Source organism: Homo sapiens, chromosome 14, assembly GCF_000001405.40.
Source record: "Homo sapiens chromosome 14, GRCh38.p14 Primary Assembly".
Classification (NCBI taxonomy): Eukaryota; Metazoa; Chordata; class Mammalia; order Primates; family Hominidae; genus Homo; species Homo sapiens.
In genome coordinates, this window is record NC_000014.9 from 92,571,553 (window position 1) to 92,588,398 (window position 16,846).

Consider the following 16,846-nt stretch of genomic DNA (forward strand, 5'->3'; position numbering starts at 1 on the left):
CACTCACAATTTTCTGACACCGGCTGGGTGTCCAATAATTTGGACACTACCCAGAGTTAGTGCAGACTCCACGGGCTGCTCCTCCTTCAGATGCCAGCCACAAGTGGGCTTCCCAGGCAACTGCACTTCTGTCCAATTTGGCTTCAAATTCAGGAGTTCCCATGATCTCCATTCAGGTTTGATAATCCGATAGGACAACTCAAAGACTCACAAAGTGTTATACTTCCAATTACAGTTTTGTATAAAAGATACAGCACAGGAACCACCAAATGGAAAAGGCACATAGGGCGAGGTCTGGGGCGGGGCAGCCACAGAGTCCCCATCACCTCTCCTCCTATTCGCAGGGGGAGTCCAGATGGGTCTGCAGCATCCTCAGTTCTTGCCTCCTCAGAAGAAAGAATTTGACCAAGGGGGCATAAGGCAGAGTGAGAGACCGAGGCAAGTTTTAGAGCAGGAGTGAAAGTTTATTAATAAAGCTTTACAGCAGGAACAAAAGGAAGGAAAGTACACTTGGAAGAGGGTCAGGTGGGTGACTTGAGAGATCAAGTGCATGGTTTGACCTTTGACTTAGGGTTTTCTGTGTTAGCATGCTTCCAGGGTCTTGTGTCCGTCCCTTCTCCCCTGAGTCTCAGAGTGGGCTTCTTCCCCTGGGGTGGGCTGTCTGCATGCGCAGTGGTCCGCCAGCACTTGGGAGGGGCCGCATGCGCAGTGTGTTTACTGGAGTTGTGCGCATACTCATTTGAGGCCTTCTTCCCTTACCAGTCCGGTGTTTCTAGAAGAAGGTCCTATACAAGTTACACTCCGCCATTTTGCCTCTTAGTGCTCATGCTTGAGCCCACGGGCACAGTTTGTGAGATGTAATCGAGAAGATGCTGATCACCAGTTTTCAGGTTTTTTTCTATCTCTTGGGAGACTGTGTTTCCCTGGGGTGACAGCTGCAACCAATTATTAGAGAGACAGTTAATAACCGCCTGCCCATCATCTGATGGTCGCCTGACATTCCTGGTCAGGGAGGGGACTCTCCTGCCCTGCTGATACCTGACTACCTACTGTAACATTTTCCCCTCAAGAGTCTAAGACCCCAATTCCTTGGGGAAAATGGATGGTCAGTCTTTCGTAACTGCTTCCTGCAGTTATAGAGAGGGGCGGTGGTGGTTGTTCTGTGGGTCTTGGCCTCTGCTAGCTGTCCGGGCAGTGTGGCTCCGTGGGTTGGTGAAAGCAGTATCCAGCCAGGTCCAAGGGAGATAGGCAGAACTTTGCCTCTGCCATGACCCACTGATGGGAAGTCTGGTGGTCTCCTGTAGAAGGGTGACTCTTTTTTTTGCTTTTTTTTTTTTTTTTTTTTTTGAGATGCAGTCTTGCTTTGTTGCCCAGGCTGGAGTACAGTAGTGCAATCTTGGCTCACTGCAACCTCTGCCTCCCAGATTGAAGCTATTCTTCTGCCTCAGCCTCCTGGGTAGTTGGGATTACAGGCATGCACCACTATACCTGACTAATTTTTGTATTGTTAGTAGAAATGGGGTTTCACCATGTTGGTCAGGCTGGTCTCGAACTCCTGACCTCAAGTGATCCCCCTGCCTCAGCCTCCCAAAGTGCTGGGATTACAGGCATGAGCCACCGTGCCCGGCCAAAAGGGTGACTTTTTTGAATATTGAGGGGATGACATCTCTCACTGAGGATCAGCTGGAGACAAATCAGGTTATTAGATTTAGAAGACTGTCAAAACAAAATAAGGGGGTGAGGACAGCTCCAAAAAATCCCAAGGTTGGTGACACACCCAGGTAGCTAACACTCCTAGAAGCTGGGTGCATCTTCCTCCCAGCACATCAGTGTGTTCACCAGCCAGAAAGTCCAGAGGTTTTATTTCAGAGGCATGATTGATTAAATCATTGGCCATGTGATTGAACTCAAGTCTCCAGTCCCCTTCTGTTGGTCACACGGGGGGCCGAAGTTCCAACCCTCTAAGCAGGTGCTTAGTCTTTCTGTGGCCAGCACCTCCCTTGAATCTAAGGTCCCACCAGGAGTCCCTGTTTAGTAGCAGAAACTCAGGTAAGATCAAAAGGGGCTCATTATGAATAATAAAAGACACTCTCATCTCTCAGGAAATTCCATGGGTTTTTGAAGCTCTGTGCCAGGATTGGGTACAAAGACTGGCTATGTGTTTCTGTCTTACTATATACCACACACTCACATTCCCTCACACACTGCTGGTTCCCATGGGCCTGGTGGCCAAGGAGGCAGCTCCACCTTGAACCTCCATAGAGGCAAAGCAACCTCATTTCTTTGAAATACACCATGTCCTGGTGTTAGTTCAATTTCAGGTGAATGCACTAGTTCATGGATGCTGCAGCTCCAAGTAGGGTGACAATTTGGCAGGAGCCGAGGCTTGTCTCTGAGCCTCTGAGCGGAGAGCCAGGCCTGGCGGAGGCATCTAGATGTAAGCCAATGTCAAGCAGGAACACCTTCCAGGCAGGCACCACCCCCACCCCTGCCATGAAGCAGTGTCGTTTGGGGTAATACCTGAGGTTTGTTTCCTCACACCAAGGAAATAAAGGACACGGACACACAAGAAATGAGGTTAAGAGTGGAGGTTTAAAAGGTGTAAGAACAAGAAAAGCACTCTCCTGCAGAGAGAGGGGGTCCTGAACAGGTCTTCGGTCCATGGTGAAGTGCAGGAGGTTTTATAGATGAGCTTGAGGAGGCAGTATCTGATTTACATAGAGTACCAGAGATTGGCTGGACAGGTGTGCCATTTGCATTGCATGCAAAGAAGCTGGCAGCCCCACCCTAATCTTTTATTACGTAGATGGATTCTCTACCTGGCTATGTTGCCTGCTTTTCTACTGTACACATGGTGACAAAGAAAAGGGAAGATGAAGCCTCCATGTTAAACATACCTGGCTTCCAGGTAGCCCTTTTCTGTTGGCACAGCTGCCGGCATTCACCCATGCAAGCTTCCAGCTTGCTTGTCTATGTTTGCCGCTTGAGTTTTCAGGCTGTTCTTTGTTAAAAAAGAAATGATTTGGGGGCTGCTTTTTGTTAAAAGGGAAGCTCAGCAGAGGACTCTGTTACCCTCACTATCTGCCTAAATAATTTCTTTTTAGCTCCTGTATCACCAGGAGTACCCCTTCCATCGCCCCCTATTGCTCCTGCTTCTAATTCTCTCTTCATCCTGCTCTGCTGGAGGAGAGGGGCTGCTAAAAACTCATTTCCAGCCTTGGTTTGGTGACTAATGATTCATTGTGCTGCTGCTCTGGAAGGGCCATACACTCACGGAGACCAGGATCTTAAGCCTCAGGGCCACCCTCTGTAAGCCAAGTGGAGGCAAAATTGAGCACTCAGGATCTAGAGTTGAAGGTCCTGAGTTTCAGGTCTCAGCTCCACCACCTACAACCCTGTGATCCTGAGCATTACTTGCCTCTCTCTGCCTCAGTGTCCTCATCTATAAAATGGGGATAACTATAGTGTTTCCCCCATAGGTTTAAGAGGAGAATTAAGTGAGATCATAGAATCTAATGCACTAGTATTTGGGTTTGGGCCAGACTAGGGAGGCCATTAATTAATAATATTAATATGGTTATAGTATTTTATTAACAATTATATATAACAACTATAGAATAACAATGATTATGATGATACAGCAATATAGTAATATTAGTAATCAATACAATGGCAGCAGAATTGGGATATCACCAGAGCAAGGTCAGGACAGAGGGCTCCTCAGGAGCCTCCTGTGCTTGGGGCCGTATCCTCACGTTACCAGAAAGGGCTCCCGATCCAGACCCCAAGAGAAGGTTCTTGGATCTGACACAAGAAAGAATTTGGGGTGAGTCCAAAGAATAAGGTGAAAGCAAGTTTATTAGAGAAGTAAAGAAGCAAAAGAATGGGTGCTCTATCCTGGTACACTGTCTCATACTCATGCTCGACTGATTATGCTTATGGTTATTTCTTGATTATTTACTGAACAAGGGGTAGATTATTCATGAGTGTTCCAGGAAAGGGGTGGGCAATTCCCAGAACTAAGGGTCCCTCCCCTTTTTAGACATAGGCTAATTTCCTGACGTTGCCATGACATCTGTAAACTGTCATGGCGCTGGTGGGAGTGTCTTTTAGCAAGCAGATGCATTATAATTAGCACATAATGAGCAGTGAGGACGACCAGAGGTCACTTTGGTCACCATCTTGGTTTTGGTGGGTTTGGGCCGGCTTCTTTACCACGTCCTGTTTTGTCAGCAGGGTCTTTGTAACCTGTATCTTGTGCCCACCTCCTATCTTATCCTGTGACTTAGAATGCCCTAACCTCCTGGGAATGCAGCCCAGCGGGGTCTCAGCCTTATTTTACCCAACCCCTATTCAAGATGGGGGTCACTCTGGTTCAGACGGACACTCAGATATCCCAGTGTCCCTGCTCCACAGCCTTTCTTCAGCAACCTTGGCCAGACACCTAGTTTTCCAAACGCTAACCCAGAAGCTTGGGGCTGGAGTGGGAGAGGCTTAAGCTCCAGGGGTGGGGTCAAGACAGGAGCAGGGAGGGGAAGACATGGACCAAGTCCTTCCCCTATGGAGGGATGCCCCCTCCCCCTTCCTGGGGAAGCTGTGCCACAGGAGGCTGGGGAGATTCCAGAAGGTGTCACCTGCCAAGGAGGGATGAGCTTGCTGAGACCTGCCAAGACTCAAAGGACATTTTAAAACAGCAGAGTTTGTGAAAGGCAGCAGAATCCCGCTCCCCATGCTTGCCTTCGGGACCCTCACTGGAGCAGAACCATTGCTTAGAGCGTGAGAAGGAGAAGCGAGTGTCCGTCAACATGCTGGCTCTGGGTGAGACCTCGGTTAGTATTTGGTTTCTAGAGCACAGCTGCGTCCTCACAGCCTAGAGCCATGGTTTTATCAGAAGAGAGTAAACCTACAGCAGAAGCAAGTCTTCCTGCTCAGGACTTGGGATCTGCATGCAGAGGCCTCATGGCATGGAGGTCCCAAGCGTTGACACCAGTGTCCGGGGGCCGAATCCAGTTCTTCCCTTATAGCTGTGAGATCTTGGCCAGGATCACCTTCCAGAGCGTGTCCTGTGGGCCAAGCCCTAACAGGTATTAACTCAGTCAGTCATCACACCAGCTGGAGGAGGGGACGTCCTGTTATAATCAGAGAGTACCTCAGTTCCTTCATCTGTAAGATGGGGATAATAATAAAACTCATGGGGTGATGGAGAGGATAGAGCAAGTTACTCTATGTGGAGTGTCATCACAGCTCCTGTCTCAGCGAGAGCTCTATATTAAGTATTAGCTATTTTTATTTTTTCAGGGGAAAAAATGGTGTGAATTGACTAATATCTGTGATTGTTTCCAGCAGCCTCCCCCAGAGTGTACGTGCTGGGGTGAGAGTTGAAATTCAACCTGACTCCTGTACATTAGAGCTTTTCTGAGTGTAGACTCAGCACTGCTCACATAAGAGCCAGCCAATTCCAGCCCCACTTACAGAATCAGTGTCTCAGTGGGTGGGGGCATAGGAATTTTAAGACCTCCCCCCACCATGGACTCTGTGCCTCCAATACCCTTATAGAAACATTGACTTCATTGAACCCGTCAGTGGGCAAATGAGAAACTGAGCATGCAGGATCCTCAATGTGGATGTGGGCCAGGTGGCGCAAGGCTCTTGGGGCAGAACCCCCAGTGTCCCTGAGGCATCCTTGATCTCCCTAGCCTGCCTCATCATTTCAGGAACCTTCCAGATGACTTCCATCTCGTGGTTGTCCTCCTCACCTTCACCCAAATCTTTAATTCACGGAGCTGCATCCCCTTCTTTGGTTTCAGATGTTCCTGGTTCGCCGGGACAGCAGCTCGAAGCAGCTGGTGCTCTGTGTCCACTTTCCTTCTCTGAACGAAAGCTCGGCCGAGGTGCTCGAATACACCATTAAGGAAGAAAAGTCGAGTAAGTACCCATCTTCTCTGTTTTCACTTTGACCACGCGGCAGCAGCAGCAGCAGAGAGGCTGCACCTTCTAACCACAGACTCCCCTGTATGCACTGATGGTGTTTAAAATTAGAAGGAGGAAAAGCTTTCAGTCACTGAAGTTACTTAGCCAGACTTGTTTTGAACTCAGTTCATCATCCAAAGTCAGTGTGAATTTCCACTCACCCTCGTCGCAGCTGGGTGGCTTTGCATTCTCATGGCCACATTGAAGTTTCTTCTTGTTAGCTCAATGCAGGGACGCTGGAGAAAGGGAAGAAAAGGAGAAGACATGTCTGCACCCTTGAGTCCTAGTGTCAGCTCAGCACACACTCAATCCATGATTGCAGACAAGTCACTTAATCTTTCTGAGCCTCAGTTTTCTCTTCTGTCAAGTGGACATAATAGTCACAGAGCTTTTGTGAGGGTCAAAGGGACAAACACTTTGAAAGACAAAAATCTGGGCCAGGCTTGATGGCTCACGCCTATAATTCCAACACTTCAGAAGGCAGAGGGCAGAGGATTTCTTGAGCCCAGGATCTGGAGACTAGCCTGGGCAACATAGAAAGACCCCCTCTCTACAAAAAATAAATAAGCCAGGTGTGGTGGCATGCACCTGTGGTCCCAGCTACTTGGGAGGCTGAGGTGGAAGATTGGCTTGAGCCAGGGAGAGTGAGGCTGCAGTGAGCTATGATTGTGCTACTGCATTCCATCCTGGGTGACAGAGGGAGATCTGGCCTAAAAAAAAAAAAAAAGAAAAAAAAGAAAAAAGAAGGACAAAAATCCTGTGTGTGCATAGTGCTACTGGAAGTGGGCATGGGCTTCAGTGGGAAAATGTTTGGGGACCCCCTCTCTAGGGCGGGTTTGTTCTGGTAGTACAATGTCACCGGGTTTGGGGCCCTTGTGGACTGCTGGGCACCCATCTGTGCCAGCTTTCTCCTCCTCGCATGGTATAACCGCTCAGTGGGTACTTCTCCCCCTCTGCCCAGATAGACCCAATTTATCAAGACGGGAATTGCAACAGAGAAAGAGTTTGATGTACATAAAGCCAACTAAACAGGAGATGGAGTTTTATTATTACTCAAATCAGCCTCCCTGAAAATTTGGAGGCTAGGGTTTTTTAAAGACAGTTTGGCGGGTAGGAGGGGTATGGAGGGGGAATGCTGATTGGTTGGGTCAGGGATGGAATCACAGGGAGTTGAATCTGTCTTCTTGCACTGAGTCAGTTCCTGGGCGAGGGCCACAAGACCAAATGAGCCAGTTTACTGGTCTGGGTGGCTGGCATCAGCTGATCCATAAGAAAGAATGCAGACCTCAAACACCAATCTTAGGTTTTATAATAGTAACATTATCTACAGGAGCAATTGGGGACATTAGTGATCTTGTGGCCTCTGGCTACGTGACTCCTGAGCCATAATTTCTTTTATTCTTTTCTTTTCTTTTTTTTTTTGAGATGGAGTTTCGCTCTTGTTGCCCAGGTTGGAGTACAATGGCGTGATCTTGGCTCACTGCAACCTCCGCCTCCCGGGTTCAAGCGATTCTCCTGCCTCAGCCTCCCGAGTAGCTGGGATTACAGGCATGTGCCACCACACCCGGCTAATTTTTGTATTTTTAGTAGAGACGGAGTTTCTCCATGTTGGTCAGGCTGGTCTCGAACCCCCCACCTCAGGTGATCCGCCTGCCTCAGCCTCCCTAAGTGCTGGGATTACAGGCGTGAGCCACCGTGCCCGGCCCTGAGCCATAATTTCTAATCTTGTGGCTAATTTGTTAGTTTTACAAAGGCGGCCTGGTCTCCAGGCAAGGAGGAGGTTTGTTTCAGGGAGAGGCTGTTACCATCTTTGTTTCAAAGTTAAACAATAAACTAAATTCCTCCCAGAGTTAGTTCAGCCTATGCCCAGGAATGAACAAGGGCAGTTTGGAGGTTAATGGCAAGATGGAATTGGTTGAGTCAGATCTCTTTCACTGTCATCATTTCCTCGTCATAATTTTTGCAAAAGCAGTTTCAATGGCTATGTGTATACATGCCAGGCATTCAGATCCAAACAGCCTGTTAGAAGAATCTATAGAATATTCCAAGCACTGGTTTACATCTCTTGTAAATGGATCCATCTCTTGTAAATGGAAGCCTTTCACCCTCAGCTAGCAGCAGAGTGACAACAGTTAAGATTCATTAAATATTCTCAAGTGTTTGTTTCTCAAGAAACATGTGTGCCTGGCACTGGGAAGATGCAAAGATGAAGAAAACAGAGTTCCTGGCCTCAGGGGCCTCCAAGTCTGGTTGGAGGGTGGGGACACACTGGTATGGGAAACAGACATCACTTGCTGTGCAGTATAGCATTACTGCATTTGCATTACTGCAAAGGGACCTCTGGCTGGGGACATGGAGGATACAGGTCACTGTGGGAAGGATTCAGGAGGGTGTCAAAGAGGAAGAAGCCTCAGGCTGGGTCCTGAAGGTGAGTATATTAGTTCAATTGAAGGTTAATCTTCTAGCCCTAGAAGTAGACTAGGAAGGGAATGCAGAAGCAGGTTACCTTTCCTGCTATAAGGAGGTCTTTCCGCAGAGACCCAGAGCCCCACAGAATGGATAAAACACAACTCGCTGGGCACAGTGGCTCAAGCCTGTAATCCCAGCACTTCGGGAGGCCGAGGCAGGCGGATCACGAAGTCAAGAGATTGACCTGGCCAACATGGTGAAACCCTGTCTCCACTAAAAATACAAAAATTAGCTGGGTGTGGTGGCATGCACCTGTAGTTCCAGCTACTTGGGAGGCTGAGGCAGAATTACTTGAACCTGGGAGGCAGAGGTTGCAGTGAGCTGAGATTGCACCACTGCACTCCAGCCTGGCAACAGAGTGAGACTCCGTCTCAACAACAACAAAAACAAAACACAACCCACACATTCATGTGTTCAGCAGAGAGTTATGGAGTGCCCACTCTGTGCCAGGCACTGTTCACTGCCTCTCAGAGCTCACTTCAGATGGAGGGAGGGGATGATAAGCAAGTAACCATCCAGGATGACTGGCAGATGGAGAGGTGTGCTATGAGGAATGTGTGAACATGGATAATTAGCTAGCTACTGCAAGAACCAGCATGATGGCTTAAAGCCAGAAGCTGGTTTCCCACTCACAGGCAAGATTCCTGCCCAGTGGGGAAGGAACAGGGACCCCAATGGAAGAAGAGGCTCTGCCACCTTCAGCGTGCAGCCTCCAGTTTCCTAGGACTGACTCCAAGCCAGTAGGCTGGAAGGGGGAAAGAGCATGGAGAAGGCTTGTGGTCCCGTCTTCCTGCCAAGGCCTAGGAGTGGGTGTGTCACCTGTGCCGCATTCCATTGGCTAGAACTTGGTCACAAGATCACACCTAACTGCAAGGGAAACTGGGTCTAGCCATGTGCCCTGGAAAAAGAACAGCATCTGGGTTTTGAACTGCTAGAAGCCTGATCCATGGGTAGTAAGGATAGCGAGTGTAGGGTTGGGGCAAATCATTTATATAGAAAACTTGATTGACCTCTCCGTCTTGTGAAGTCCAGCGGGGAAGAAAGTGTGAGGTTCTCAAAGAAGGAAGAGAGTGTTATGGTTTTCCCAGACCAAGTATGCAGCACCCTCTGATGACAGCAGAAGAGGTAGGGCTGTTTGGGGCATCCACTGTTCTCCAAGAACCAGAGTCTCTTCTCATTTGGCCAGGGCCAGGCCTTCTTAGCGGGTGCTCCTGGGGTCACACAGCCCCCGGCTGTGCTTATGGTCTCCTGGGAGATAGAGAGGACCATCACCTATCTATTAGTAGATAATAGAGACCAGGAGGGTACAGACCTGTCTCTTACTAAGAGCAACCAGGCTTTCAGAGACTCGGCTGCCACCTGCCAGTTACCTACAACTTTCGGAAACCCAAGAGCCAGCTGTGCTCTTGAATTTCCACAGCAACATTGGGAAAGTAGCTGAGGTTGGAGGTTATGATGAGCTGAGCTTATCAGCCAGTGCTCTAGGAGCCTGAGTTGGGAGTGCTGTTCACGGCCAGGGTGGACAGGAAGGCTTCTTGGAGGAAAGGCACATCAGGCTGGACCAGCAGACTGTCTGAACGTTCTGCCCACGTCCTTTGCGCCATACTCCTTCCCCACCTCCCCGCCCAGCCTCCAGGGTCACCACTCTGCTGTCTCTCCAACCCAGTGACACCCCACACCCCTGGAAACCAGGACATTGTATCTGGTTTCATGTCTCATTTTCCATTAGGCACCAATGAAAAACCAGAGCTGGATGGTCGTTAAAGCAGTAAAAACAGGATTTGCTCAAAACTATTGCAATAAAGACAGAGACCTCGGTATAGAACTGGGCTCAACTCCAAATACAGCATGGGCAAGTGGGGGTTATAGCCAAGGAGCAGGGTGGGAGGCAGTGGATGGAAAATCACTAAGGGGAAACATCAGGGGCAGGGAGGATTCTGGCGAAACTGACCCAACAGGATTCTTGCTGAAGGCAGGCAGGGTGATCAGACAGCACCCGGGGGATGGTGGAGGACGAGGAAACTGATCAGATATTGACAGTGATCAGATATCAAGGGGGAGGTGTTTTTCTAAACCAGTGAAGCAGGATTCTTGCTAAAACTGGATTTTAGGAGGCACAGATGGGCCTAGGAGAAGGTTCAGGAGCCTGACTAAAGTTTGGTCAAGCGAAGAATTTTTTCAAGCCTGAGGGACAAATTGGGTCACTCAGAGACAGAGACGGCCAGCCTACTTCTATGGGTTCTTTCTTCCTCCCAGGGCCGTGTGGCCGAATCTCACTTTCCATTTTTAAACTTTTAAAAATTCAGTGCTCAATTTGCTGAAAATATGATGAAAACCAAAAATCTTTCTTGTAACCTAACACTTCCATCATCGTTCATGTGCATTCACTATAAATACACAGGTGTCATCCGTAAGTTTGTGTGTGTGTGGTTTTGCTGTTTCCTTTTTTACTTTTTTTTTTTTTTTTTTTCCCTGAGATGGAGTCTTGCTCTATCGCCCAGGCCGGAGTGCAGTGGTGTGGTATGATCTTGGCTTACTGCAACCTCTGCCTCCCGAGTTCAAGCAAGTCTCCAGCCTCAGCCTCCTGAGTAGCTGGGACTACAGGCATGCGCCATCACGTCCGGCTAATTTTTGTGTATTTAGTGGAAACCAGGTTTCACCATGTTGGCCAGGCTGGTCTCGAACTCCTGACCTCAGGTAATCTGCCTGCCTGAGCCTCCCAAAGTGTTGGGATTACAGGCGTGAGCCACCCCGCCTGGCCTGCCGTGTCCTTGTATTACTCCATTGCTCTCCAAACCTCACTCCCCTGAGGTCAGCCACTAGCATGCACCCAGACAACATTAAGAAAGCAGCAGGTAACTTGTTTCTTTGCCGAGTTAATGTGCCGCTCCTGCCTCTTTGCTCTCTTCCTGTTTGATGCCCTCCTCCTTGACACAGCAGTTGAGACAGACCATGGAAGCCACACAGCTTTTTGAATCCCGCTGTTTTCTCCTGCCTGTGTGACCTTGTGCAAGTTACTTTACCTCTCCAGGCCTCAGTTGCCTTGCCTGTAAGATGGGGATAATGATGGTGCCGCCATCACAGGGCACTGGAAAGGGTTCGTGTGTCTACACTGCTTAGGACTTTAGACACTGTGGCCACGGTGACTGCAGTAGGGGGTGATCTGAGGGGGAAGTGGTCAAGGGAAAGGCCCAGGCCTGGAACTGGGGCCTTTTGTTGGGGTTCCCCACACAGAGCTGAGGCAAGGGAAAGAGACGTGGGGATACCCCAAAAGGGGTAGCCAGCTTGATCTGTGACTCTGCTCTGTTTGAAGAAGAAACACTCGCTCTGACCACTTCCGTTTCCATGTGCCTGGATTGTCCTCTAGTTTCTTGTTAAGTGTTTCCTTGAAACTCTCTGAAGCAGTCAGCTTGGGCTAGTCTTGCTGTGGTAACAAACAACCCTAACCCCAGTTGCTTGCACACACATGGGTGTGTACACAAAGTAAAATGAGTGTGCAGCTGGCCCTCCAACCTGTGGTTTCCACATCCACGGATTTAATCAAACATGGATCAAAAATATTCAAAGAAAAAAAGATGAAAAATAACAACACAACAATAAAAAATAATGTAAATTAAAATATAGTATAACAACTGTGTATATAGCATTTACATTGTATTAGGTATTAGAAGTAACCTAGAAATGATTTAAAGCAGAGCTCCCCAACGTTTTTGGCACCAGCTTCATCCATGTCCCTGCAAAGAACATGATCTCATTCATTTTAATGGCTGCATAGTATTCCATGGTGTATATGCACTGTATTTTTCCACAGATGGGATGGGGGATGGTTTCTGGGTGAAACTGTTCCACTTCAGATCATCAGGCATTAGATTCTCATAAGGAGCCTGCAACCGGGATCCCTTCCATGCACAGTTCACAATAGGGTTCTTGCTCCTATGAGAATCTAATGCTGCCACTGATCTGGCAGGAGGCAGAGCTCCAGTGGTGAAGCTCGCCCTCCCAATGCTTACCCCCTGCTGTGCGCCCCGGTTCCTACCAGTTCCCTGGCCCAGGAGTTGGGGACCCCTCATTTAAAGTATACAGGAGGACGTGCATACGTTATAGGCAGATACTATGCCATTTCATATCAAGGACTTGAGCATCCTCAGATTTCGGTTTCTGAGGGGGTGGGGGGGTCTTGAAACCAACCCCCCACAGATACCAAGGGACAATTGTATTTCTCACTCAGGTGACATGCCATCTGAGGCTCTTTGCAACAACTTGTGTATATTGCAATGCAGGCTGAAGGAGCAGCACCCATCTGGGGCATTCAGGCGGGAAGAGAAAGCAGAATCCATGACTGTTTCCCAAAGGTTCCACTCAGAGAAGGCAGGTGTCACTTCCCTTCACATCTCATTGGCTGAAACAGGTCACATGGCCAGGCCAGCCTCCAGTAGGATGGGAAGTCTAATCCTCCGGCAAGCATGTGACCCACAGGGCAGGGTAGCCACCATTTTGAACAAGCATTATGTGAACAACCATCTCCTGCATCCCCAGTCCTCCTCTCTGCTGCACAAAGGGAACAAGAGATGTCTTGGTCACCACTTGGCCTCACTGGGGACCCTCAGAGGCCCGATGTGTGTGGAGAGAGAGGGGACCAGCAGAAGAGGCATGGGGGCAGGGGATGTATGGGATGAAGGGCCGAGACTCAAGATGGAAGGGAGGCTAGCACAGCTGCTGAGCTGCAGCCTGCCCGTTTATGGCTGAAGTGAGCCACCTGGCCAGGAGGACACTAGCTACTTTTTCATTGATGGGCTTTGAAGATGGTGACAGTGACAGATTCAGGTGATGGCGTCTTTCTGCTGGCTGCTCTAAAAAGAAGGCCACTTGGCCCCATCTCCAGAATAGGAACCATGAGACAGTGACAAATGCCCATACAGGAAGTGAGCTGCCCAGCACTCACCATCTGAGCCATTTACCCCATGTTTCCCAGGTAGCCCCTCTTCATTTCCTGCCTATTCCCCTGGCTTGCTTTATTTATTTATTTATTTATAGAGACAGAGTCTTGTTCTGTTGCCCAGGCTACAGTGCGGTGGCGCAATCATAGCTCACTGCAACCGCAGCTGCAACTCCCTGGGCTCAAGCGATCCTCCTGCCTTAGCCGCCCAAGTAGCTGGGATGACAGGTGTGTGCCACTGTGCCTGGGTAATTTTTTTATTTTTTGTAGAGATGGGGTCTCTGTGTTGTCCGGGCTGGTCTCAAACTGGCCTCCCAAAGTGCTGGATTTACATTTTGATTTAAATCCAGGTCAAATCTCTTTCTAGGATAATGGGTCAGCTGGTGAAAGGGTCAAACTTAAGAGCAGAACTCAAAGGCATTGTGGGTGACGCTGACACCCGTGCACATGGATCTCCACTGCCCAGGAGGACTCATCTAGCATTTCTCCTTTCCTGAATTTAAAACGTCCCCATAGTCCAGTGGTGATAACCACCAATGCCAGTTAGCACAAGGGTTCACTACATTTGCCCATGACATGGGCTCCCTTCCCAGGGACAGATGTGTCAGCTTCAACTACTTAACCTAAAAGCACATGCCTTAGAGTGGGAGACTTGTTTGGTGCAAGAAGCAATCCTACCTGAGCTAGTCCAGCAGGTTTTTTTGTTTGTTTGTTTGTTGTTTGTTTTCACGGTCTCACTCTATCAGGCTCTGGAGTGCAGTAGTGTGATCACAGCTCACTGCAGCCTCAACCTCCTGGGCTCAAGCGATCCTCCCCAAGTTGCTGGGACTACAGGTACACGCCGCTGTGCCTGGCTAATTTTTGTATTTTCTGTAGAGACAGGGTTTCATCATGTTGTGCAGTTTCAGTCCATAAAAAGTAAGGAGTGATTATTATTAAAAGAGGGATTGGTGTCGAGAAGGCAGCCTCTTGATATTTCAGCAGTGAGGAAGTACTGATGGCATCGTGGTAATCTTGCACTCTTGTTAATGCAAACTTCTTTTGAGAGCTTAAGCTTTAGAAAGGCTGGCAGTTCTGGGTTTTAATTCTCTGTCACCTTGTGACATCAGACATGTTACTTAATTTCTCTGCTTCACTTTCCTCATCTGCAACATGGGAACTCTGCAACACAGCTACTGGGAGGAATGATGAGCACATCAATCGGTGACTACTCATAGGGGCTTGGGACCGTGTTGCCTGGCACATGGGACGCGCTCCACAACTTTGTCTCCTGGATGAAATGGGGACATTTATGGGAAAAAGCCTGTGTGTAGTAAGCACACCATAAATACTAGCAGCTATAATTAGCTATGGAGTTTGAGCAGCATGCAGTTCATACCACAAAACCCATCGTTTCCTGCAACACTTTGCTCTTGGAGAACTCCTGTAAGATGTTGATTCGTTCTTCTTATCTCACATTGGTTATTACTCATAGAGGTTTTGGCTAAAATAACCACAGTTTATTTCTTTCTGTTTTCAGCATTCCCCTTTTCAGCCTCCAACACTGGAGTTGGGCCAGGAAAAAAATACATCATGAGATAATTTAACTCCAAGAACTTTATTGTAAAACTTCAGTGGTGAATTTCTTTTAAAAAAAATAGATCTTGAATCATAGTGGTGTATTCTTAGCCTCCTTTTTTTTTCACTTAGACATTTTATTATGAGCTTTCTCTGTGTTATTGAACATTTCAAAGACTTTGCAACCAATTAAATATGTGTTGGATGGCTTCTGAAGGAAGACAGTATGACAGGCTTGAAGACAGGGTTCTTGGCATTGAACCAGTGGGAGAGACAGGCTCATGCATACATAACCAGAAATACAAGTCGTTCGAACTGTCCTAAATGTTAGAATGTAAGCATGTACTCTGGGTCATCAAAACCAATGACACTCAGGGAAATCCACCCAGGCCTACTTTGGGCCTTGGACGATGGAAAATATTTGTGAAAAAGAGAAATTGAGGAACAGATGTGTTAAGCTGAGTCCACAGCCTGCATCAGGGCTCAGAGGCAGGAAAAAGAAAATCAGGAAAGGGTAGAACTCTGTTGGGGGAGAGGTAGATTGGAAGTAGAATCAAAGTTGAGGCTAGAAGGTGGGATTCGGCCAGGTCACGAAAGACCTTGACAACCACCCGAGGGTGTTAGAGATTTGGTTTGTAGTGTTATCGGAAGCCACGCAAAGGTTTTGAGCAGGAAGTAGCCCTATGAGATTGGTGCTTCAGAGTAGAGCTTGACTGTGTGGGAGCTGAACAAGACAGTTACTCTGCCAGGACAGAGGAAGAGGAGGAAGGTGCTTGAGACACCTGTCTCAGGTAATGGCCTTCCTGGCTGCCTAGGAACTGGGACTGGGGAGCTAAGATAAGGGGCAGGCCCTGGGGCAGCCATTACCCACAAGAAGGGAAGCCCTTTCAGTGGGTTGGGGCCTGTGAGGGGCTGCAGTACAGTAATGCCCCTCTAGGAAACGGGAACATAGGGACAGTGGAGGAGTTTGTTTTGCAAGGAGAGAACTGGACACAGGAAGAAGTTTTGACAGAGATGGAGAAAGATCTAGAACACATGGCCTCAGAGGCAAGAGAAAAGGGAGAGATGAGGGAAATGGGTTAGTATTGTGGGTGGCCAAGCCTGAGTGTACATGGGCTGCCACCTTCAGGGGCCTTGCAGCTTTAGAAAGTACATCTAAGTTGGGAAAGCAGCCCACCTCAACTGTCTCGGGGGTCCAGAAACCACTGCACAGACACCCCTCTTTTGGAAGTGACTGCAAGTGGGGTCAGGGGTCAGAGCCCAGGCCACAGTGCTTCCTGGGCTTCCTGTCACAGGAGAGCACCGGGTTTGGATAATCTTGGCTCAGCATGTCTTAGTCTATTTGTGCTGCTTTAACAAAATACCAAGACTGGGTAATTTATAAAGAATGGAAATTTATTTCTCACAATTTGCAAGACTGGGAAGTCCAAGATCAGGACACCAGCAGGTTCTCTTGTCTAGTGAGGGCTGCTGTCTGATCCAAGATGGCTCCTTGAAGCTGTGTTCTCTGGAGACGAGGGATGCTATGTCCTCACTTGGCCAAAGGCAGAAGGGCAAGAGAGCTGAATACTGTGTGAAGTCTCTTTTATCAGAGTCTTAATCCCATCCACGAGGGAGGAGCTCTCATGGCCTAATCACATTTTAAAGGCCCCAACTCCTCATACCATCATGTTGGCCATTAAGTTTCAACACGTGAATTTCGGAGGGGACCCATTCAAGCCATAGCACTCTTTTTTTTTTTTTTTTTTTTTTTTTTTTTTGAGATGGAGTTTCGCTCTTGTTGCCCAGGCGGGAGTGCAGTGGCGCGATCTCTGCTCACTGCAACTTCCGCCTCCTGGGTTCAAGCAATTCTCCTGTCTCAGTCTCCCAAGTAGCTGGGATTACAGGCATGTGCCGCCGCCCCTGGCAATTTTG

At 48.5% G+C, this 16,846-nt stretch overlaps 1 protein-coding gene across 2 annotated transcripts in view, besides 6 other annotated features; it reads left to right on the forward strand.

Annotated features, from left to right (window-relative positions):
- The window catches only part of RIN3 (Ras and Rab interactor 3), a 175,214-nt gene that overhangs the window by 57,772 nt on the left and 100,596 nt on the right, over nucleotides 1-16,846 (forward strand). The window contains exons 1-2 of one of the 2 annotated variants that reach the window (NM_001319987.2): nucleotides 4,682-4,829; nucleotides 5,808-5,925. In NM_001319987.2, coding sequence (NP_001306916.1) covers nucleotides 4,806-4,829; nucleotides 5,808-5,925 — 142 coding nt within the window. In that variant the 5' untranslated portion in view covers nucleotides 4,682-4,805. Of the gene's footprint in view, nucleotides 1-4,681; nucleotides 4,830-5,807; nucleotides 5,926-16,846 lie in introns of those variants that run through there. The other variant, NM_024832.5, reaches the window with a different exon arrangement.
- Nucleotides 1,829-2,330: an enhancer, noted in NCBI's record as "NANOG hESC enhancer chr14:93039726-93040227 (GRCh37/hg19 assembly coordinates)". NCBI's record gives its function as "activates a minimal SCP1, AML or CMV promoter by ChIP-STARR-seq in primed H9 embryonic stem cells {active_cell/tissue: H9 hESC(primed)}" and the evidence as "EXISTENCE:reporter gene assay evidence [ECO:0000049][PMID:30033119]".
- Nucleotides 5,600-5,679: an enhancer, noted in NCBI's record as "active region_8934". NCBI's record gives its function as "activates an Ori minimal core promoter by ATAC-STARR-seq in GM12878 lymphoblastoid cells {active_cell/tissue: GM12878}" and the evidence as "EXISTENCE:reporter gene assay evidence [ECO:0000049][PMID:35858748]".
- Nucleotides 5,710-5,899: an enhancer, noted in NCBI's record as "active region_8935". NCBI's record gives its function as "activates an Ori minimal core promoter by ATAC-STARR-seq in GM12878 lymphoblastoid cells {active_cell/tissue: GM12878}" and the evidence as "EXISTENCE:reporter gene assay evidence [ECO:0000049][PMID:35858748]".
- Nucleotides 10,681-10,750: an enhancer, noted in NCBI's record as "active region_8936". NCBI's record gives its function as "activates an Ori minimal core promoter by ATAC-STARR-seq in GM12878 lymphoblastoid cells {active_cell/tissue: GM12878}" and the evidence as "EXISTENCE:reporter gene assay evidence [ECO:0000049][PMID:35858748]".
- Nucleotides 11,731-11,890: an enhancer, noted in NCBI's record as "active region_8937". NCBI's record gives its function as "activates an Ori minimal core promoter by ATAC-STARR-seq in GM12878 lymphoblastoid cells {active_cell/tissue: GM12878}" and the evidence as "EXISTENCE:reporter gene assay evidence [ECO:0000049][PMID:35858748]".
- Nucleotides 14,647-14,796: an enhancer, noted in NCBI's record as "active region_8938". NCBI's record gives its function as "activates an Ori minimal core promoter by ATAC-STARR-seq in GM12878 lymphoblastoid cells {active_cell/tissue: GM12878}" and the evidence as "EXISTENCE:reporter gene assay evidence [ECO:0000049][PMID:35858748]".